The sequence below is a fragment of the Homo sapiens genome, chromosome 13, assembly GCF_000001405.40.
Source record: "Homo sapiens chromosome 13, GRCh38.p14 Primary Assembly".
NCBI lineage: Eukaryota > Metazoa > Chordata > Mammalia > Primates > Hominidae > Homo > Homo sapiens.
The window spans coordinates 42,197,567-42,221,048 of record NC_000013.11 but is presented as its reverse complement, the minus strand read 5'-3'; the positions used below and the strand labels follow the sequence as shown (position 1 = coordinate 42,221,048).

Sequence of the window (23,482 nt, the reverse complement as noted above, 5' to 3'; positions counted from 1 at the left end):
CCGTGCACCCATGCTTAGCTTTAGTCCAGTTTCCTCATTAAAGCCACCCAACCTACACAATATGCATACAAAATGTATTTCACATCATTAGGATCAATGGTGCAAGCTCTAAATAAGCTCTGATGATTTCCTTCAGACCCTGTATGAAAACGGCTATAGACTGAAATGAGCTACAAATGCTAATTACAATTTAAAATCTGATATGGGGTATTCAATTTTACACAGACTTTTCTGCTTAAGGTCTTGCTGACTTCAAGTGTAGTGTTGATTGATTCTCCTACTACTGATAATAACGGCAATCAATGTGCTATTAAATCACAATTTAATATCATTTAAAAAGTCCATAGCACTGCTCTCTGACATTAGTTGGATTACGTTATTTTCAGTGTGTATCATTTGCTTATACATTTTATTCAACATTGATTAGCTTAATAAAAGCCTACTTATTTGCTGTATTTGGTTTTTAAATGGCTTTCATTAGCTGCTTTATGAATATCACAAATAAGGCTTTACATCACTTTTTTAAAGATAGCACACTCAGAGGAATTTATAAAATTATTTGGTTATGAAAGGCAGCTACCATTGTATAAACAGAATTTGAAGGTGCTTTAGTACTAGCATACCTGTACATTTAAACTCTAAGGAAAGGTGAAAAAGGAACGAGAGAAATAGCAGCGAAGAGGGGGCTTAATCTTTGCTTGAGAATGCAAGTATCACAGCATATTGTCATTGTCGAGGGGTTGAAACAGTGTCCTCAAAACAGGAGAAAGGGAATATATAACTTTAGGTGGAAAATGTAATCGGCAAGTTAAATGAGTAAATGAAAGTTTCTATGTTCCATTTATCAAAGTAATCTAAAAATTGTACTTAAAAGAAGAAAAACAAATTATACACTGATGCTTTGACTTGCTGTTGAGAAAGAACCATCTGAACAGAAATGCTGACATCCACTAAACAAAGTAGAAGCAAATTAGCAACCACTTCATTTTTTTGTGTGCTTCCTTACTAGAGATTCCCACTGATACTCAGATGTGTTTTAGGTATGAGAGGATTCTTTTATGGTAAAATTCATAAAGCATGAAATTCCCCATTTTAACCATTTTAAAGCATAGAATTCAATGACAGTATGTTCATCATACTGCACAATGCTCAACCACCATCTAGCTCCAGAACATTTTCACGACCTCCATGATGTCACTTTAATCAGCTCTTTTTTCATAATGTTATATTTCCCCTTCCATATGGACCACCTACCAGGCTGTGAACTTGTCTTCTGCTTCTGAACCTTTTCCTTTTTAAACTTTGGCACTATTCGAAATACGGTGCTTCTGTTGTTCCTTTTGGTGCAATCCATAGGAGGTTCCTGTTCAAATCGAGCAAGAAAATAATTTTTTCAGGATATGAAAAGGAGAAAAACCTACTCTGATAATAGGGATAACACAGGAATAAGTTATAAACACTAAACATTATAGAACAGTGATAACTTCTTCAAAAAAAGTTCACAATGTACTACTAAAAATGTCCCAATTCCCCTAAAATGCGTTCACATAAATGCCTTTTCTCATTTGTTCAAGAACAGAACATTTGAAAGTAGTATTCAAAATTCATTTTTCCCTAAATATCTCTTTTTCAAAGATGAGTTCAAATTCTATAGCAATATGGTCTACATTTCTAGAGAAACAGGCTGAATTTTACATACCTCATCCTCATTTGGGTGTAAGATATAATAAAGCCAAGGAATCTCTGTCAGTTTCTGTAATTCCACCTCCACAGAGTGTAAGGCATTGGATACTCGCTCTTCATGTGGCGATTCCAGCTGCTATTTACCAGCAGATTAAAAGACAAAACAAAACAAGACTCAGTGGCCAGCCTCACGTAGAATAAATCATTGTACTTTGACAGTGAACAGCCTCACTCCTTATTAAGGTAGTATTTTTTAAATTAAGGAATATTAAGAGAAGAATAAATTCTTTTATATTGATTTCATTTTTAAAAAATCTGAATAGATTTAATCTAATCATTACTTCCCAAAGATCATATGAGTAGCTAGTGTAACTTTAATAACTTCATAGAAAAAGTATTATTTTGGTGTTTTTTTCTGTGTAAATGTCTTCTTTCCTGTCTCCCTCCTTCATGCTTTCCAAGCATTTATCTACCAATTCTTCCTGGTTGTATAAGTGTGCAGTCTTACTATTCTACTTATTTGTGCCAAAAATCCTTCTGATTTAAATAGGTCACCAGGCTGGGCATGATAGCTCATGCCCATAATCCCAGCACTTTGGGAGGCCAATGTGGGCGGATCATTTGAGGTCAGGAGTTGGAAACCAGACTGGCCAACATGATGAAACCCCGCCTCTACTAAAAATACAAAAATTAGTTAGGCATGGTGTTGGGCGCCTGTAATCCCAGCTCCTTGGGAGGCTGAGGCAAGAGAATTGCTTGAGCCTGGGAAGTGGAGATTGCAGTGAGCAGAGATAGCGCCACTGCACTCCAGCCTGGGTGCCAGAGCCAGAAACTCTGACTCAAAAAAAAAAAAAAAAAAAAAAGTCACCACATGAACAAATAATACTTTTTAAACTGGTTAAAAACTTGTCATATAAAAAGAACTGCAGAAAAATCTCCTTGAAAATTTAAAGAATAGGCTTAAGGGTAAAAAATCATGAATCTTAGAAAAATCTGTGATGAAAAACTGTTGTAAAAATTAGGGCAAAGCAAAAAGCTCAATGGCTTATCATCTGAAACTGGGTTTGGATATTTTAAGGAGAATTTAACTGCTCACCTATTATCTGCATTAACTCATTGAAAGCAGGTATTAAAATGCACTTACAAGTTCAATAAATGAATAAAGATTAAATAAACATTCCTCTGCACAGAACTGGAAGGCAGTCGATTGGATTCTACTCCTGGCCTTGTAATTAACTAAGTAACCAAAGGAAGGTTAATTGACTTCAGGAGACTTTATTTCTTCCTCTGGAAATAGCACAAGGTGATGATGATGATGATGATGATGATTTGAGACAGAGTCTTGTTCTGTTGCCCAGGCTGGAAGTGCAATGGCGCAATCTCAGCTCACTGTAACCTTGGCCTTCTGGGTTCAAGCAATTCTCGTGCCTCAGCCACCAAAGTAGCTGGGTTTACAGGCGCATGCCACCAGGCCTGGCTAATTTTTGTATTTTTAGTAGAGATGGGGTTTCACCATGTTGTCCAGGCTGGTCTCAAACTCCTGGTCTACAATGAGCTGCCTGCCTCAGCCTCCCAAAGTGCCGGAATTACAGGCGTGAGCCACTGAGCCTGGCCGACTAGATTATTTTTGAGGTCTCTTCTAGCTAATCAATATATTTATAAATTACTTTAAAATTATAGAGTTCTCATAAATATGTTTATAGAATTTTAGAACTAAAAGTTCAGAGATAATATTACTGTTATTATGAACTTTTTTTTTTGTTTCCCCTTGTTATTCACAGTATCTACCACTTCTAGTAGTGATTAAAAATACGGAGATTCTTGGCTGGGCGCAGTGGCTCATGCCTGTAATCCCAGCACTCTGGGAGGCCGAGACGGGTGGATCACTTGAAGTCAGGAGTTCGAGACCAGCCTGGCCAACATAGTGAAATTCTGTCTCTATTGAAAAGAAAAAAAAAAATTGCCAGGCATGGTGGTGCGCGATTGTAGTCCCAGCTACTTGGCAGCTGAGGCAGGAGAATCACTTGGAACCAGAGAGGCTGAGGTTGCAGTGAGCAGAGATCACGCTACTGCGACAGAGTGCGTCCCTGTCTCAAAAAAAAAGGAGATTCTCTACCCTGTTGTGTTTAAAATTTATTAATTTTCGTTTAGTCTAAGAATATGTGTTATAAAACGTATAAAATGGTTATTACAAATTCATTCTGGCACTAAAATATAGAGTAAACCTTAGTTGCTCTCAAATACAATCAATTCCTTATTGTAATATCACTATTGTCAAAAGTTTTGGTAAAATTCACCAGTACACATTTTAAACCAAAATTCATATTTAACAATGAGAGAAAATTAAAAGTGGAGAAGGAAAGTCCATCCATATTAACATAATACAAATAATAAATATTAGCAAGGTAGCACTCAGCAGGTACTTTTCGTGTAGAGAAAATAAGTACAGAATAAATTATGCTTTTAGTTGTAAGAAATGATCGTCATAGGTCACTGGATTTCCTATAGGACCAGCAGAAGATTCTGGTTAAAAACAGTAGTGCCAAAAAAAGCCAAGAAGGGGCTCCACTGGTTTTATCAAAAGAGATAACCAATGTTTCTTCGTAAAAGGTTTTCTTCATGGCCATAGTAGAGCCAGTCACCTCTTGTCCCAAGGAAGCTGTGTTTCAGTTTCCTTTGGAGGTAGGTAAGAGTGATGGCTTTCATGCAGCCTTTCAGCTTCTCTTCTCAGAGCAAAGGATGCCCCAAAGGTGGCACTTTTCTGGACCATAGGCGAAAACAGAAACCCTAAGCTCAGGCACTTAATAGCAAGGCTGTGGGATGCACCTCCCATTCATTCACCCACTGTGCCAGATACTATGACTCTTAGTATCACTTTTATTTAGGTGTAGATTTGCCCAACCAAGTGAGAAAATTACTTTCAAAAGAAATGTTTTAAGATCATCAACTACCAATTAACCAGAATTATAAAAAGGAATAAAAAAACAGCAAATGAATTAGGCCTTCCACACAGTGATAACAGCATGTGGGAATAAGCCACAACCGAACTCTAGGTGGCGGCAAGAGCCAAGATGCTAGAATACTTGAAAATGGTGAGGTATTTATAAAGAAAGGCTAACTCGTGCTGCTAACAAAATAGGACATCCACAAGCTTCCAGCATTTATGCTTGAGATCCATGGACTGTGGTCTGATTCAGACTTGGCCTAAACTTGATTTCCAGGACCAATCTGGATTAAACAAGGCAGAGTTCTTGAAATTTACTTCTTGAAACACTGTGTCTAGAAAATGTCCTCTTTTAAGCAAACCTGGAGGACCATACCAGTCATATTCAAATGCTAATTCAGGGAACAAACTCCATGAGTTCCTCTACTTGTGTGCAATAATAAGTACCTAAGGAATGTCTACTACACTTTATAAAGCTCACGTCTCTCGAAGCTGAATGGGGCAGAGCAGGGCTGCCTAAAAACAGGATGGCATATATGAGGGGAAATCTCCACTCCTGTTAGCCTGAATCATGACTCCCAACTTCAGCCATATATTTTCTTGAAGACAAAAACCAGGTGAAGAGGCAGCTCTCAGGATGGAAGCCAGAAGGCTGCTTCTGCCTTAGAATCTGCCAAATGCCTGTTCCCCAATGAAGGTAAGACCCAGACATTTAATTCATCATTCTTATGTTACCAGTCATTCTTTTCCTTACCAAAGGAACCCTGCCAACTAGCAAAGATTCTGTTTCATTATACAGCGCCTTCACATTGATGGCTATTTCAGTGGCAGTGTCTCTTGTAAGACTCTAGAAAAGAAGAATATCAAAGACATGTGATCTGTATTAAAATAGGATTTCATTACCATAAACACTTTAAATTTTATTCTTATAATTTAAATTCACAGCACACATTTTTAATCTACCAAAATTCTATAATCGCAAAGTTTCATACATTTGTTTGTATGACTATCTCATTATTATTATATTACAGAACAAAAAGAATGCACCGATTACAGTGAATACACTCAGGATCACATCTCCTACCTAATGAATATGTATATGCTAGCACCAGCATATACATATTCCCATTAAAAAGTTAAGTCAAAAAAAACTTTTACTCTCAGTAACACTAACCATATTGCTTTTTAGACTATTATCTTGAGAACAAGCACTTAACTGTATATTAATTTAAGTAACTTCAATCAAATAATTAAAAAAAAAAACGCTATCAGTTTTCTCCATACTATAGCATTGTACCATGTGGCACATTTTAAGAGTTATATTCTATCCATTCTATTATTAACTTATACATTAAAAATTTTACAGAAGCATCAATTTCCGATTTAGCAAAACAAAATGAAGTAGGAATAATTTCAGTGCATAACTTCAAAAACGAGTGGACATCTCTAACAAAATGCACGCTGATGATATCTAGGATTGCCCTTTAACAAGGTACAGGGCAGAAGGTAAGGTAAAAGAAGGAGTAAGAAAGGACGATTAAAGTTCAAAAAAGAAAGAAGTGAAGACAGATGGAAGGTGACAAGTGATTGAAAGTGAAACATAAAAAATGAGAGAATTTAAGAGCAGGAATGAAAAAATAACAGGAAAAGGAAAATAAAAAGTTGTCCACGATTTTACTGCAGGTTTGTAGAGACTCATATAGACAACATAACTTTCTGTCACAGGGCGTGGCATATTTTACAGTATTAAAATACATGTGTAACACCCAAAAGAATCTGTGGAATGAGAATTTACCATTAGATCCTCACCTCCGGGCACCTTGGGTTGGCTTTATTCAGGGCATGGGAGCAGGCATTCACAGCATGGGCCAGTTCTTGCTCCAAAAGACAGTGAATTGTGGCTGCGTCACATATCCTAAAAGCAAAAATGAAACAAATGAATAAAAAACTTTTTTGAGTATTGCTCATTTTTTTTGAAGTATAGAAATGTTAGGATAAAACAAGTAAAAAATATATGAAGATCAGTATGGAAGAACACTTTTAATGGCTGCTCAATTATGAATGGCACAGGTAGATCTATAAATCCAGACCCCACTGCAACAAAAAATATGAAATAAAAAATCTTTGTATAAAAAATTAGGCTTAAAAATCAGAGGGAGACATATTGAAGTGCTATTTTGAAGAATGAAATATAGTAATACTTCATTTTTCAGTATCCTTGGAAAGTGAGAGGGATCACAAGTATAAAGACTAGAAACTTCTCTTTCATTCATTGAAACTGCAAATGCAACAGATTAGGGAAGAGCATTACCATATTTGTCATCAATACACAAAGTGATCATAAGCAGTATATAAGTTAACATTCACAGCCTTTAAATGTAGCTATGATTTACTATCTCCATATTATTGATGATGACATTGAGGCTCAGAGAGACGTGGTAGGCATACAGAGCCAGTAAATCGTAGAGCCAGGATCGGAATCCATGTCTATTTAACTCCAAAGCCTGTTGTGCCATACTCCACTGGTATCCAAACCTCTAAGAATAGTCCTGAAAAGACCAAATTCTGGAAGGCACTAAGGCCAAGGACAAGAAAGGAGAAAAAGTCCCTCCGATTGCTAGAAAATGATGTAAGACCTGCAGATGAGCAAGAAGGCAGGGCTGTTCAAGTGTTTTTTTTGCTTCTGACAGCTTCATGGAGAAATATTTTCTATCTGGAAAGGACAGAACAAGAAAAGGGACTGAGGCCCTATATAGCTGAACCAAGAGTAAAGAAAAAGAATTTAATTCTTAAGGATTATACAATGGATATCTAAGGCACAAAGAAGCTTGCAAATGTCACCTCAGCACTATTATCAGCAACCCTGAGAAACCATGAAGAATGGGCTATTTTTCAGAAGAACAGAGATGGATAAAGGTTATTCTAATTTTCAGAGAAAGGGAAAGACATAAATCAACTTCAGATCAACATTTCTAATTGCCTACTGAAATCTGCTAGGTATTTTTAATGTAATTTAAATTCTAAAGCCCAACATGGAACCCATCATTTTCCTTCTAATACCTACTCCTCTTCCTGAACCCTATGGCTCCATCAAAGGCACCCCACAATCATCCAGCCATTCATTAGAACATTAAGGTCAACCTGTTTCCTAATTCATACCCATTTACCAATTTTAAATCCTAAACTGTCTTTAATCTTGCTTGTCCTTTCTATCTTTACTGCTTTAGTCTATCATTTTTTATAGGGACAACTTCTACAGCATCCTCAGTGTTCACCTTGCCCCAGCTTTGCTGTCGTCCAGAAAAACCCCTCCACACTACTTCTAGAACAGCCCAGTAAAGATCTGGCTCCTCCTCACCTCTTCATCTACATTCCACACAATCTTGCATATACTATGCCAACCTTTCAGTCACCCCAAACTCTCTGAGATTTCCTGAAAGTAGCATGCATTCACACTCCTCTGGGCCTCTTCCTAAGCTGGTTCCCATGCTTAAATTGCTCCTTTTCTCACTCTTCCCTCAAGACTCGGATGAAAGGTCACTTCTTCCAGGCAGCCCTCCTTCACTGCCTCTGACTTCCTCTAGAGTGTATCTACAGAGTCCACTGTGTGCCTCATGTCAATCCTTTGGCCACATTTCTCCCTCCTACTAATCTGTGAGCCAATTAAGTAGGGCTGTCAAATAATCATCTTGTATCCCCAGCCTAAGAAGAGGTTCAAAAATTGAATATGTTTGCATAGTCAATGAATAAATTCTGAAAATAGACAAGTGAGCCTGATTTCATCTGCAAAATTTAAAAACAGATGGGAAGCCAAACTACGTTGACCAGAAGCAAGCCTAGTCAATCTTCGCTTCCTTTTTACAATAAGATTATTTGGTTGGTTCACAGGATGAGAACATGGGAAGTATATTTTGGTTTCAAAAAAACACTGTAAATTAGAGGCCACAGAAGTTGTCTGTAGTATCTAAAAGAGATGTATTTAGTCTGAAACTAACAACCCTATGGATAAGAAGCCGAGATGTACAATAATGCAGCTGTGTGGGTATAGCTGAGTAAATATTCATTTTCTCTTCCCTTTCTTCTGAGCTGCCCAGTATTTTGCAGTTGTAAGACTTGATTCTAATTCTGAATGTTGGTCCAGCAGTAGGGGGTGTATGCCTTTTCTCTTCTGTCTCTAACATCTCACACAGTCTAGTTATCTAATAAATATTTAAAGAGAGTAAGGAATGGGAGGGGAGCAGATGGCAAATAGTAGAGAGGAGGAAAGATGTGAGTTAGCCGCTGAAACCACTGAGCTTTGCTTTCCTTCTTTTCTTTTTCAACATTTTTATCAGTGACCAGATGAAGGTGTGGGAAGAATCTTAAGTTACTATACACAGAGCACTCAATATGCCAGACATGATGTGTCATATCGTTTGGCTGTGTCCCCACCCAAATCTCATCTTGAATTGTAGCTCCCATAATCCCTATGAATCATGAGAGAGACCAGTGGGAGGTAACTGAATCATGGGGGTGAGTTTTTCCTGTACTGTTCTCGTGATAGTGACTAAGTCTCACAAGATGTGATGGCTTTATAAAGGGCAGTTCCCTTGCACATGCTCTCTTGCCTACTGCCATGTAAGACGTGCCTTTGCTCCTCCTTTGCCTGCTGCCATGATTGTGAGGCCTCCCCAGACATGTGGAGCTGTGAGTCTATTAAACCTCTTTTTTTTCTTCTTTTTTTGAAGACGGAGTCTCACTCTGTCGTCCAGGCTGCAGTGCAGTGGCGTGATCTTGGCTCACTGCAACTTCCACCACTCAGGTTCAAGTGATTCTCCTGCCTCAGCCTCCTGAGGAACTGGGACTGCAGGTGCCCACCACCACACACGGCAAATTTTTGTATTTTTAGTAGAGACGGGGTTTCACCATGTTGGCCAGGCTGGTCTCGAACTCCTGACCTCAACTGATCCACCTGCCTCAGCCTCCCAAAGTGTTGGGATTACAGGCATGAGCCACTGTGCCTGGCCTGAAACCTGTTTTTCTTTATAAATTACCCGGTCTCAGGTATTTCTTCATAGCCATATGAAAATGGACTAATACAATGTGCTTATAGGACTCATCCCTAGAGTCTCATTTAATCTTCACACACCCTATTGAAACAGCTCTTATTAGCCCCATTCGGTAGATAAGACTCAGGTGAGGAGGTAAGACACTGGCCCATGGTCCCTCCTCCCCTCTGAAGTTTTCCCTGGTCATAGTGATTTTTATTTGTTTAACACTCATAGGCTTGCTTTTTATCTCTTTTCTTTTTGTCTATTGGAATTAATGTTATGTGTGGTCTCAAAATCTCTCTAATAACTTGTCAGAAATTGGTTTTTGAAGTCTTTTTATTCTTTTTGCTCCTGACTCTTCTCTGGAACAGGATGAATGTTTAGACTTCCCTCTCCATTCCATAAACATTTAATTAGTAATTAGAAGGCAACATATAAGTAGGTAGTATAGTGTAAAGATGTATATAAAATGGAGAAATAAACAATAATGGAAAGAGTGCTGTGTGAAGAAGAGTAATTGCATCTCTTTTTGATACCACTACTGAAACAATGTATTAAGATTAAAAAAACAAAAATTGGCTGAGACCACAGTTCCCACAGCCTGAAAAGTCAGCAGAGCCCCCTACCTAGTAATGAGCTCCTCTGCAGCCTGGGAGCATAGCTGCATCTGCGACACCTCTTCTGTTGCCAAGTCAATGGCGTGATGGATGTACAAATGGGTTCGGAGAACTGGTTTACCAGAATCACACTTCTGCTTATCTTCCCAAGATTTCAGAGTGCTCTCAAAGGCCTATTTAAAGTCAATATTGTAACGAATTGTTAGTTTAGAACTCAGAGGTCCATGTAAATGTGTGCTTTAATAAAACTACAATTGCTTTTTCTCTAATGACTCCTCAAATAAATCACAAGTATAAAAAAGACATTTCAAAGTTTTCCAATGTACTGCAACACATGAAAAGTAGTGCAGTCAATGATCATGAATACATCATTTAAAAGTTAAAAAAGAGATTTAGGTCAAGGCGGGACAATCACCTGAGGCCAGTCTAGGCAACATAGTGAGACCTCATCTCTACAAAAAAGATTTTTTTTTTAATTAGCTGGGCTGAGGTAGGAGGATTGCTTGAGCCCAGGAGTTTAAGGTTGCAGTGAGCTATGATCACACCACTGTACTCCAGCATGTGCAATGAAGCAGGACTGTTTCAAAACAAAAACAAAAACAAAAAAATATTTCATGCTTCAATCTTTACTATTGCTTCAATTTATTCTTTAATCTTTACTATTTTATATATACTAGATGGGCAAATATTAGCAGTCTTCTTTGATAAAGACAGACCTTAATTAAAAACATATTCTGCAAAAGGAAAAATAATAGAGACAGTAAAAAAAAAAAAAAAAAAATCAATGATTGCCAGGAGTAAGGGTAAGGGAAGGAGGGATGAACAGGTAGACCATAAGGAATTTTTAGGGTCGTGAAATAATTTTGTATGATACTGCAGTGGTGGATACAAGTGATTATATCTTTGTCCAAACTCACAGATGTACAACTCAAAGAGTAATGGAAACTATGGACTTTAGTTAATAATAATCAATCAGTATTGACTCAACAGTTGTAACAAATGTGCCACACTAATGCAAGATGTTAACAGGGGAATTTACATGTGTAGGGAAGAAGGGGGAGGAGGAAGTATATAGGAACGTAATTCGAATTCTCTTTACTTTCTGCCCAGTTTTTCTGTAAACCTAAAATGGCTCTAAAAAATAAACTCCTACTGAAATAAATAAATATTTGTTCATATTTCAAACCACCATGACCTAAATGTCAGATTTAAGAGACAATTTAAATGTTTTCATTTTCTATTTTTTTATAACAATTTCAGATTCTTTAAAAACCTGACAATATTCTAGAAGAATGTTTTTGTTACATACTCTGTCCCTTGTTAGCATTTGTGCTCTGTTTTTGTGCACAATTTTGATAATCCCTGGAGGCTGAACCCACGCTTCACCATCCACTTGCACTGGGACTCCTTCGTCACCAAATATAGTGATTTTCACTGTACGGCACTGAAATAAAACAAATCATTTTAGAGTACAAATCATCCAGAGAAAATGACACTCAATCTTTATGAAGGCTTGAGTATTAGACTATTCTACAGAATAGACTATTATGCTTTATCACTTATAAATGACATGGTAAAAACTGATATGACAACAAAGTCAGAATATTATAGATGAATATCCAGTGTACGAGTTGTTTAGAATAGATTCCTTCAACCCTCCTTAGCCCAAGAAGTGCAGTCAGGTTTGACGAGAGAAACCAACCTGGGCTATTCGATGATGCTGCAGTTTAATGACCCTTGAAACTGCCATTTGCATGCTATCAAATATTGCTACAACTTCCAGGATCTTGTCATCAAAGGATGGTGCAGCAAATATCTGAAAGAAAAACTACATTACACTTCTACTGAATGTTTAGGTGAAGAGCACGTTAAGCAATGTAAACTGCAATATATATCTACATATATTTAATATATTTAATAATATATTTAAGTAAATATTATTAGGAAATAATAATCCAAGAAAAAAATCTCTGAAGATGACTTCCAATAAACCTAACTTTAAAAAGGGTTTTCAAATATACACGGATATACTACTCATACCTCTCATTAAACTACTCTTTGGACCAGTTAACTAATATATTTCTAAATAATTCACCTTGGAATAAAACATGTTAAATACATGTTCATACCTAATTCAAACATGTTAATAAGATGATACATGTAAGTTTTGGAAATCTAAAAAAAACTACAAAGGCGATATAGTGTCATAGAAAGGTGATATAGTTTCATAAAGTTAAAGCTAATGAAGATGCAAATTATGATCCAGTTTACTTGATATATTCTAAGGGAAATCTTTCAAGGTTTTACAAGCAATATACATATGTGCTTTATATTTTAATACAAAACTTTTGAGGGAACTTGAGAGTATGCAAATAGAAACCTCAGAAGATAAAAATTATGCAGACTTATTTTGTCTTTACATTAGATGCATTTTCACAAAATTAATTTACTCTAAAATTTTATATGTAGGCTGTATTACCTTACTCTCTCTTTTACTATATCATAAATAATATGCATCTGAAACAATTTTCAGTATAAAGTAATAAGCTAATTAAAACTTTCACTGAAAATATCAGGACACAAAGTTGCTAACATTGTAATTTGTAATTTTTTTATTATACTGCCTGAATTTAAACCCTGTCTCTGCTATTACTAACTGGAAACTTTGTCTTAGATTCTTCAGCAGTAAAAATCAAATAAACAACGTGGACATTAAATAATGAATGTGAAGCTCTTAGAACATTGTCGGACTACCTAGCAGGTGTTCAAGGAATGTTGGCTTTATTTACCTTAATCTCACTGATTTCTCCCCTTCAAAATACTTAATAGTGACAAGCAGACAAAAGATGCTTTTATACTCGAATAGGACTGGAATATATTTATGTCATGAAAATTACAAATACTTTCCAATTGATCTTATACTGTATCCCTATCTGTCCATTTAAGATCTTTGAGAATAACAGATCAGTAGGAACCATTATATCATTATATCATAAACTCAAATCAATGGATGTGACTCTTCAAATAAAGACTGTGATAACACTTCTCATTTTTACTGATATATATATATATATATATACACACTTTAATAATTGTGCCCTCTCTTTCATTCTTTTCACAACAATTACATTTGTAAGGTTGTGTTTTCTTCTTTTTCTAATATAGAAAAGTATGAAAAGAAAAACAAAAATAGCCCTAAACTCGACCGGCCAAATGAGCCCTCTTGATATTTCTGAAAATAAAAAATATATACACACACAAGTTTAGAAAATTAAAAGTACTGAGGCTGGATGCAGTGGCTCATCCCTGTAATCCTAGGACTTTGGGAGGCCGAGGTGGGTGGATCACCTGAGGTCAGAAGTTCGAGACCACCCTGGCCAACATGGTGAAACCCCCGTCTCTACTAAAAATGCAAAAATTAGCCAGGTGTGGTGGTGTGTGCCTGTAGTCCCAGCTACCCAGGAGGCTGAGGCAGGGGAACTGCTTGAACCTGAGAGGCAGAGGTTGTAGCGAGCTGAGATTACGCCATTGCACTCCAGTCTGAGCGACAGAGTAAGATTCTGTCTCAAAAAAGAAAGAAGGAAGGAAGGAAGGAAGGAAGGAAGGAAGGAAGGAAGGAAGGAAGGAAGGAAGGAAGGAAGGAAGGAAGGAGAGAGAAAGAGAAAGAAAGAAAGAAAGAAAGAAAGAAAGAAAGAAAGAAAGAAAGAAAGAAGGAAGGAAAGAAGGAAAGAAGGAAAGAAAGAAAGAAAAAGAAAGAAAGAAAGAAAGAAAGAAAGAAAGAAAGAAAGAAAGAAAGAAAAAGTAAAAGTACCAAAAGGTATTGTGGTAGGCAGAATAATGCCCCCTCTCTGCCCCCTAAAATGTCCATGTCCTAATCCCCCAAACCCGTGAATCTGTTACCTTACACAGCAAAAGGAACTTTGCAGATGTGATTAAATAAAGGGCCTTGAGATGGGGATGATCCTGGGTGATCTAGGTGGGCCCAATGTAATCACAGTGGTCATCAAAAGTGGAAGAGGAAGCAGCAGACATCAGAGAGATGCCATGTGAGAAGGATTCAACCTGCCTTTGCTGGCTTTGAAGATGGAGGGGAATGTGGGCAGCCTCGAGACGCTCCAAAGACAGGGAAATAAGAGTCTCCCTTAGAGCCTCCGGAAGGCAACAGCCCAGCTGACACCTTGATTTTAGCCCAGTAAGACTGTGCCAGTCTCCCATCATATACAACAGTAAGATGATAAATGTGTTTGAGGTGGCTAAATTTGTGTTAACTTGTTATAGCAGCGATAGAAAACAGATGCAGGTATAAAATTAAAAAGTAAAATCTTCCCTTCCTTATTTCATAAATCTACTTTCCAAAAGCAGACCCACTATTTAATGTTCATCCAGAAAATTGTGACATACATCCCAAGATACGAATATCTGTATCTTCAACATGAGAAAAGTTGGAGTACATCCACAAGAGACTGTTACAATAAAATCTTAAATAAATCTATTCCATGCCTCACTTACCCAATGCAAAATATTTAACATGAAATTAAACTACTATTCAACAGCCCATTTACAAAAGCAAATTATTCCAGTGATATAATTATTTTTGAGGAAACAAACTATTTACTCCCATTACTTACATCATCCTCTTTAGTTCCACCCCAAAAGTTAGTGCCTCCAGCATAGCTGGGAATGTTCAACACGGCTATGCCTTGCAAGCTGGGAAGAGGAATATACTGCCCATCACACTGTAAGGTAAAAAAAAAAAAAAAAAGTAGAGATTAGATAAAAAGAGCAGAACCACTAGTATGGAAGATACTAAAACACTAAAGATGAAGGACAATGGAGCACAGTGTGTTCGTAATGTCTGCTCTCTACACGTTACCAAATCATTTATCTTATTTTTTTTAATTAAAAAAAGTTTGAAGTATAAATAACTATAGCAGAAGTTATTACAAAAAACTGATTTTTAAAGAAATGCTTTACCTCTTTCCTCCAAAACCAGGGAGTCCTTTTCTTGAATCATTTTCAGGCCTTTTATGTACTTTCACCTGCATTGTGGTCCTCTATGTACTTATTTTAAGCATCTTTTTGAAAGCAGACTGGGTAAGAGAAAGTTGATCCTAACCATCTCACTTAGCCCCTCTCACAGTCCCTGGTACATTGCTGGGGCTCTACAACCACCTGGGGACTGGTGAAACTCAAAGCTGAATACTTCAAGTACAAGTCAGAACCAAAGTCAAGCAAAAATATATGCATCTCAGAAAGCTCCTTGCAGTCCTTACTTTCTCATTAAGCACTTAAATGAAAAGTAAATTACCATGTAAATGGAAAAAAAGGATATGGCTGGTGAATGGATGTGAATAAATTCTTACTGAGTAGAAGCAGAACTGTTACCTTCTCTCATAAATGTTGTTTCTTAATTTCAATTAATGCTGTTTATTCTATTAACTTTTAAATAAAGTCTAGTTGGCTATTAAGGAAACAATTAGTTATGAAACTAATTTTTTAAAAATTACTCAAGAAAAATGAGCATAATTATGTTACATACATTTTATGATCATACTTATTATTTTAATTAACATTTAAACCAAACCACTTAACATTTTTCTAAGTGAACATTTAAATCCAATGGAAATGTTTAAGCCTTCATTTTAAAAGAGAACAGCTTACAGATGTCACACCTAAAATGGATGCTATATTTTCATTAAATAATTCTTATATTAAAAATAATTAACATAGCTTCTTAAAAATTACATTTTAATGCCCAATAAAAATGATTTCCAACAGAAAGAAATAAACTGTATTTCTGAGACTGTGAGAGAATAATTTGTTCTAGGGGAGAAACCAAGGTGAGGGAAAGAGTTTCTGTAATGGGACATCTCATTAAAAAGAGTATTAAGTCCTACTGGTCTAGGATGGTTTGGGTTTAGCAAAGATGGAAGGAAAAGGTCTCAATGTCAAGAGTACCAATATTTTCTTTAATGTCTATTCAGTAGTGAGGTTCTGATTCTCCAAGTTAGCTCGCTAAACTGGTGAAAATCCAGGGCAGAGACCAGCAAACACTTGGAAATTGTTACAGCTGGTCCAAGACCAACCCGTAAGGGACTTCTCTGCTCTGTGAATCTGAGAATGGGGAAGAATAAGAGCTTAGTGAGGATGCATAGGAGATTAATCTCATCCCCAAGTACTGCAAAAAATGTTCACCATCAGAATCACACAGAAGCTTGTGTTCGCTAATTCAGCCAAAGTCAGTTCTTGGGAAGACCTCAGGGTTATTGGCTGATTGGAATGGTGTAATGGATGAAGGCCAGGATTGGTTGATTTACCTTCACGGGAATGTTTCACAATTCCTTTTCTTCTTTTTCATGAAAACACAGTGTTAACCATTAGCAGGTTTAGCTTTTCACATTCAAAGGTCCATGCACCTGGGGGTTTGTCTGGCACATAATTGGTGCTCAATGTATATTTGTTGAATGAATAAATATGAAATACTTAACAGAATAATAAACTTTTTCTCAACCCAATACATTAAACAGATATCTTTATGTGCTTTAGAAAAAGCTGCTTTAAATCATATGACTAACAAAGGAAATGGGGAAAAATACTATCTCTGTAAATATAAAAGAAATATTTTAAAAATATTTTCCAAATGGATGCACTTTATTTGCAAACATGGTATGGAAAACGATGAAGATTTTCAGAAAGAAGTCCTATGTGCGGTGCTGAAGTGAATATATATATATTAAGCAACACATCTAAATCTAAATGCTTAATGTCCATTTCATAGAGTCTCATAGGAAAAATACGAGGAATACAGATTCAACAAATTAACAAATTCACATGATTTAAAAGTTTCTCATATCCAGGAAAAACTTCAGGAGTGTTAAATTTTTAAAAAATATTTCCAGTAGCCCCATATATCCTTTATTTTTATTTATTTATTCTTTTTGAGAGATGTGGTCTTGCTCTGTCGCTCAGGATAGAATGTAGTGGTGCCATCACAGCTTACTGCAGTCTTGAACTCCTGGGCTCAAGCAATCCTCCTGCCTCAGGCTTCCAAGTAGCTGGGATTATAGGTGCACACCACCAGAGCTGGCTCCCTAGCCATCCCATGTTTCTATTTGTGGTTCATGATGTTGCAAAATGCTACAAAACTGCAGCTATATATATATTTCTCATTAGTGTTTGTTTTCTCTGCTCCTTTCACCAGACAATCTGATATGGAGGGAAGATGGTGGAGCTGGATTGAATTCTGTCACTTAGTATTTGGGTAAGTCCCTTAAGCTTTTAGAGCTTCACTTTGCTCATCTGTAAAATGGGCTAACAATTCTTAGCACACAGTGAGGCCAATGAGATAAGGTAAAGAAAAGCACCTAGAACACATGTGGGAAGTCAGTAAATTTCCTTCTTCAGTTATAATTACAAATTGTCTTATGGAAAAAACACTGGATTTGAAATGTTGGCTCTTCCACTTATCAGCTGTTTGAACTTAAGCAATGCCTTTACTCTTCCGAACTGAATAATAATACCTACCTCATGAGTTGTTAAGAATTAAAGGTGGTATGTAGAAGGCACACAGTAAACTTCATTCAAAATGATTTAAAAAGTAGTTACAACTAGTTATTACTGAAATGAATTAAACAAATACAGAAATTACTATTAATATAATAAACTAAATTTATTTTGTTTTTTAAAAAGATACAGATTATGGGAAGATTTGAAATAACTAAAAATGTGAATTAAACAACTACTTGTTCTCAATCACATATTTCATTATAGCCTACAGATGAAGACTGTTTTTTAAAGTTATTTGTTTTTCTTCATGTATCTTAGTACTTACAGAACTTGAAACAATATATAATTATTATTTCAGTTAATAAATAGAACAGTCTCCTTAACCCATGTAAATTACGTATATTATGGGCAAAAAAGTCATCCTTCTTACAAAAAATGTTTGGAATTTTAATACAATTCTTCCATTTACATGTGAAAGGTGTTTCTACTCTAAAAGTAGCAAAATATGATACTGTGACGTTATTTACATTTCTGGAATTCCCATCATTGTAAAAAGGATTCTAAATCTCACTCCAAGTTTCTGAAAGTTGAGTATATATCAGAATCACTGATAATGTGGCTTGGGAAACAAAGTTTGCATTTGTACAGTTCTTTCCCATTCACACTGTGATTTACAGTACCTTGGGCTCATTTATTTATGATTTGCATAAAATCATTATTTTATCAATTTCGTATATAGGGAAACCAAGGTCAAAGTCTTTGTTCTGCACAAATTTAAAGTTAAGACATGAAGTCAGCCTCGTTCCATACCAACAACATAACGGGGAGGGAAAACTTATCTGAGGAAAAAGGTAAGAGTAAAAAGCTAAAAAGGAAGGCCATTGGTGAAGGCGTCTCTCTGGAAAGAGCCTCCCAAGGTGTGGGTCTCTCTTTTCCACCTTTATCCCGAGTGAACCATCATCAGAAAAATGAATTTTTAGACAACGGCCTTCCATCGTCTTTAGAAGTAGAATGTATCTTTTTGGTTTACTTTATTGTTACTATTTTTTGTTAATGATGGCAAAGAGTGCTCTACTTTTTCTACTTTATTTTTATGTATATTAACATGTTTTCATTTATCTTGTTTTACTCATTTTATTTTCCCTTATCATTTAACATATACATCTATATCAAGTGTTCTTAACTTAAGGTTCAGAAACCAGGAGTCCATGGATAGATTCAGGTGACTTGTTAACTTCATGGTAAAAATCTGTATCTTTATGTTCACTAACCTCTGAAGTTTAGCATCGCCCTCAATTATAAATGTAGGGGAAAAAAGGCATTAGTAACACCCGTGATTTCATCATCAATCGAAATGAGACATTTTTATATTACGTTATAGATGTTTCAGATATCTTGTATATAAGTTCATCATCACTTTGAAGTTATGGTATTTATTAGACATGCCATTAGATTTTTATTTGATACGGTAACGATGAAACACATATATTATTCTTTAGCAACATAAAAATATGTTGTTAATTTATTTTAATCTTATTGGTAAGTCTTCTTTTGTAAGTCTGTATTTCATATAATGCATTTGAAAACAATATTCTGAGAAGGGGTCTTTATTTTCACCAGAATGCCAAAGGTGCCTACAACTCAAAAAAGATTAAGAACCTTTTAAAAAGGAGAGTACAAAGCAGCTGTGTAAATAAGATATCTTGTTCAAAATTTGGAACACCAGTACAAGAGGTTACTAATCCTATTTCTGAAGAGCTGAGGCTCTTCCAGGAACTAAGACCATCCAGCCATTCAGATCCAGCCAGTTTTTCAACCCTTAAAGATAGCTGGCTATGCTTGATCACAGCACTTAATAAATTGTGCTAAAGTGATCACTTACCCATCTATTTCACCCTCAAAATAGGACCAGTGCTGAGCTAAACACTGGGGATAACAAAGATAAAAACAACTTCCTATGTGTCCTTGGGTGTGGCCAAACTGGGCACGGTGGCACACACCAGTAATCCCAGCACTTTGGAAGGCCGAGGCGGGCAGACCATGAGGTCAAGAGATGGAAACCATCCTGGCCAACATGGTGAAACCCCATGTATACTGAAAATACAAAAATTAGCTGGGCGTGGTGGCGTGCACCTGTAGTTCCAGCTACTTGGAAGGCTGAGGCAGAAGAATCGCTTGAACCCAGCAGGTAGAGGTTGCAGTGAGCCGAGATCGCACCACTACACTGCAGCGTGGTTGACAGAGCGAGACTCCATCTCAAAAAAATAAATAAATAAATAAATAAAAAGAATGTGGCCAACCGGGGTACATGAAGAAAAAAAGGAATGATTACATGATTAGGAGAGCACCTAAGCTGACCTGGGTATGGGGTGTCAAGGATAGCATTTACAAAATGTGAACCTTCCTGATTTTGTACCTTTTTATCCAGTAAGTCTATCTTAATTTTATAAGCAATAATAAATCAAACCAGCTGATCATACAGTTGTATGTTTAGAGTGGAAAGTATAATAGGCTCATCTTCACTAGGAAATATAGTTTTTAAAGAATGAGCGAGACACCTCTTTAGTCCACATTCCAGTGTTTGGATAACACCCCAAATAATAATGTTCTATTTATTTTGTTGAGCTGTAGACTTAAGATTTCATAATTTTCTATATGTATGATATGCTTTAATTAAAAATATATAGTTACAAAAAGATACAAGATAGGAAAGACATGCCCCATCGGCATAAACAGTGAGTCCTGGATCAAAGGTAAAATAAAATAAAATTCACAGAAATTAATAGTCTTTTTAGAGCTATATCCTCAGCCTTGTTGTTTCTGTTGTTGGAAGAAATAAAATAACTTTTTCTGTCCTTAATTTCCTATTTAAATTAGTAAAAAACAGTAAAACATTTAAATGCTCAAAATCTCTTTTAATTTTACTTGTTGTTAGAAATAATTGGAGCAAAAAATAAACGTATATTTAAATTAAAAGATTCTATTTACTTCAAATGCTATTTTCAGGGATTTGAAAAACTTTTGTTATTACAGAATTGGGTCAGAATTTGGAAGCTTAAATGAGAAAATCCATTAAAAACCCTCTCCTATAAATGTGCTCCCTTGGCTCCACTTTTACGTGGGGCACCACAACTCCAGAGTAGCCCCAATTTCAGGAGATAATGATGATGATAATTAAGTGTGTCATTCATATCCTGTGTATATACTTCCTTTAGTACAAAGTTGATAATCACATTCATTTTTCCCCTTGAATATTTATTTAATTGCTAATCAAAACGCATTTAGGTCAAATTAGCTCCAAAACGATATTTTTTTTAAGTAAGATAATATGAAATATCTTTACTTTAAGATGAACTTACCTCAAGTTGAACCCTTTGTTCTAAATTCTTGTACGATCTCTGTAATAACTCCCGGGTTCCAAGGACTCCATACCACATCAAGTTTTTAGTTCGGCTCCTGAAAATAAATATTGGCAGGCAATTTCAGGAAATTTTATTTATTTACTCCTTAAAGGCAGAGCAAGCAAAAAGACATAATAAATGAAGAAAAAATTGCCTTTATGTAATAGCATTATTACTTTTACTAAAATTACCTGCATTTTTCAGGGTGCTCCTCTCTTTTATTATTAAATTCTAATGAAATTTTTGCATCTAATCCAATCCCAAAGTAATTGTTCATGACACATTTTTCTGAATATCCATCTCTATGATCACAGGGAAAAGTACATCAAAGTCAATTTGAGATTCATTATAACAATTACAATTTGTACACAAGATAGTACTTAAAACCATTTAAGCTTTCATTTTATAGCAGATTGTAAAACTTAGCACTAATCACTTCCTATTCCTATGCCATGTGTACAACCACAGGACATGTGTACAATTTCTGGTACATGTGACATAAAGGGATGGTGAGTAAGACACACAGTTATGGTGTGATTTTCTCTAACTGTAACAAAATCTTAGTTCTATTTCTACTTAAGTTCCTCACTACACAGAAAAAATGCAGGTGATTATGGGAAGGCTTTACAGTCAGGTGCCAATTCTCTCTCTCTCTTTTTTATCATTAGAAAGTCCCCTCCATTTCTACACTTAACAATGGACAAATATTTATTGAGCAAAAAAGTACTAGATCCAATCCATTCTTCCAGGTGTTTTGGAACGTTTAAAATATGGTACTCTCCTTGAGGAATGTCATTACAGAAATGATATAACAAAAGCAAAATTTAAAAAGGAAGTAAAAGAAAGTATATCTTGAAATGCCAAAAAATTGTAGGAGTCTTAAGAAGGGAAGAGATCAGTGTGGGCCAAAAGATTCCCAAAATAAGTAAACCTAGAAGCTGACGTGGAAAGATGACAGATCTGGCAAGACTGAGAAGAAAGGAGGTAAAGGGAATAGCATCAGTTCTATTTATTGGTGCCTTCCTTTGCCAGAGGGTTGCTCTCAGAGAGAACGGGCTGGAAAAGGACCTATCTCAGGGACAGATCACGGAGACCACTGAATTTTAAAAGACTCAATGTGCTTGGCATTATCAACTTTTGTAATTTTCTGATCATCCTTTTTTTACATGGGACCATATTTATTGTAATACATTTAAAATGTTACAGTTCATGTTGAAAAAAAAAAAAAACAAGAAAAACCCAAACAAAATATTTGCAAAAGCATTTTCTTACACGGAATCTAGATCCGGGTCAATAAACGGCGTGGCACCAAAAGGATCAATGTTTGCCAGTAACATTTTGTTGATAATCGAACTCCCAGCAATTGAGGCAGCCAGTCCTGCTCTTAAACCTGGAAAGAAAAGCAAACACATATGGGATCGCATGTTAAGAAAAAACACAGAAAGAACCAGTCCATCCAGGCCTGATATCAAATATCTTACTTTTAAAAGCAAGGTTTTCAGTGCCTTATTTCAGTGCCTACTCTTCTCATTAATGAAAATTAAAAACAATGACATTTGTGAGTACAAGGCTTTTGACACTTCCAAGGATCTATATGTTATCATAAAGAATTAAGGAGAGGAGGACCTAAATAGGAATGGCTTTGTGACACTTTCTCATTTACCATCCCAATAATTCTATAACAAATACATTTTACTTCCTTTGTTATAGCAAAGATGGTATTAAGTCTATAAGGAATTTACAATAAAGGCGGAATTACCCAAAATGTCATGGAGTTATCAGTTCCATATTCTCAAATCATAGATAATGATACTTAATTTAAAATATTAAGAGATGTATTAAGGTGAAAACTCAGTGTTAATTTTAAGAATAAGCAGTAAAGTATTAAATGTAGGTATCTGTGAATTTTAGAAGAATATAGTATTAAATATAAAAAATGAAGCCTCTTACTTCAAATTTATTTCAACATGCTTTCCAACTAGTTTTCTAACTGTTACAGTATTCAAAGCTAATGAATTTTATGATCTACTCAACCCAATATGAAAGCTAGAAGCACTAAAGACTGGAGAGGAGACAAACTAATAGGAACCTACAAGAACAAGGGAAACACGAGGAAATTAGAAAAACAAGTTCTTTCTTTTTATTTTATTTTTTTTTAGAGATGAGTCTCACTCTCTCACCTAGGCTGGAGTGCAATGGTGTGATCACAGCTCACTGCAGCCTCCATCTCCCAGGGTTCAAGCGATCCTCCCACCTCAGTCTCCCAAGTAGCTGGGACTACAGGGCATGTGCCACCATGCC

General features: G+C 35.9%; 1 protein-coding gene across 8 annotated transcripts in view; it reads right to left on the bottom strand.

The window, feature by feature from the left end:
- DGKH (diacylglycerol kinase eta) overlaps window positions 1-23,482 on the bottom strand; it is a 216,515-nt gene that overhangs the window by 35,536 nt on the left and 157,497 nt on the right. For 7 of the 8 annotated variants that reach the window (NR_123714.2, NM_001204504.3, NM_178009.5 and 4 more), the window contains 11 exons: window positions 22,454-22,571; window positions 21,373-21,483; window positions 21,140-21,236; window positions 14,903-15,010; window positions 11,977-12,090; window positions 11,584-11,718; window positions 10,284-10,447; window positions 6,437-6,542; window positions 5,382-5,474; window positions 1,700-1,819; window positions 1,255-1,363 (listed from right to left, as the gene is read on the bottom strand). Coding sequence is in view for 6 of the 8 variants with exons in the window: in NM_001204504.3 (NP_001191433.1) it covers window positions 1,255-1,363; window positions 1,700-1,819; window positions 5,382-5,474; window positions 6,437-6,542; window positions 10,284-10,447; window positions 11,584-11,718; window positions 11,977-12,090; window positions 14,903-15,010; window positions 21,140-21,236; window positions 21,373-21,483; window positions 22,454-22,571 (1,275 nt within the window). In the remaining 2 variants the exon portion in view is untranslated. The remainder of the gene's footprint in view (window positions 1-1,254; window positions 1,364-1,699; window positions 1,820-5,381; window positions 5,475-6,436; window positions 6,543-10,283; window positions 10,448-11,583; window positions 11,719-11,976; window positions 12,091-14,902; window positions 15,011-21,139; window positions 21,237-21,372; window positions 21,484-22,453; window positions 22,572-23,482) is intronic. The other variant, NR_123715.2, reaches the window with a different exon arrangement.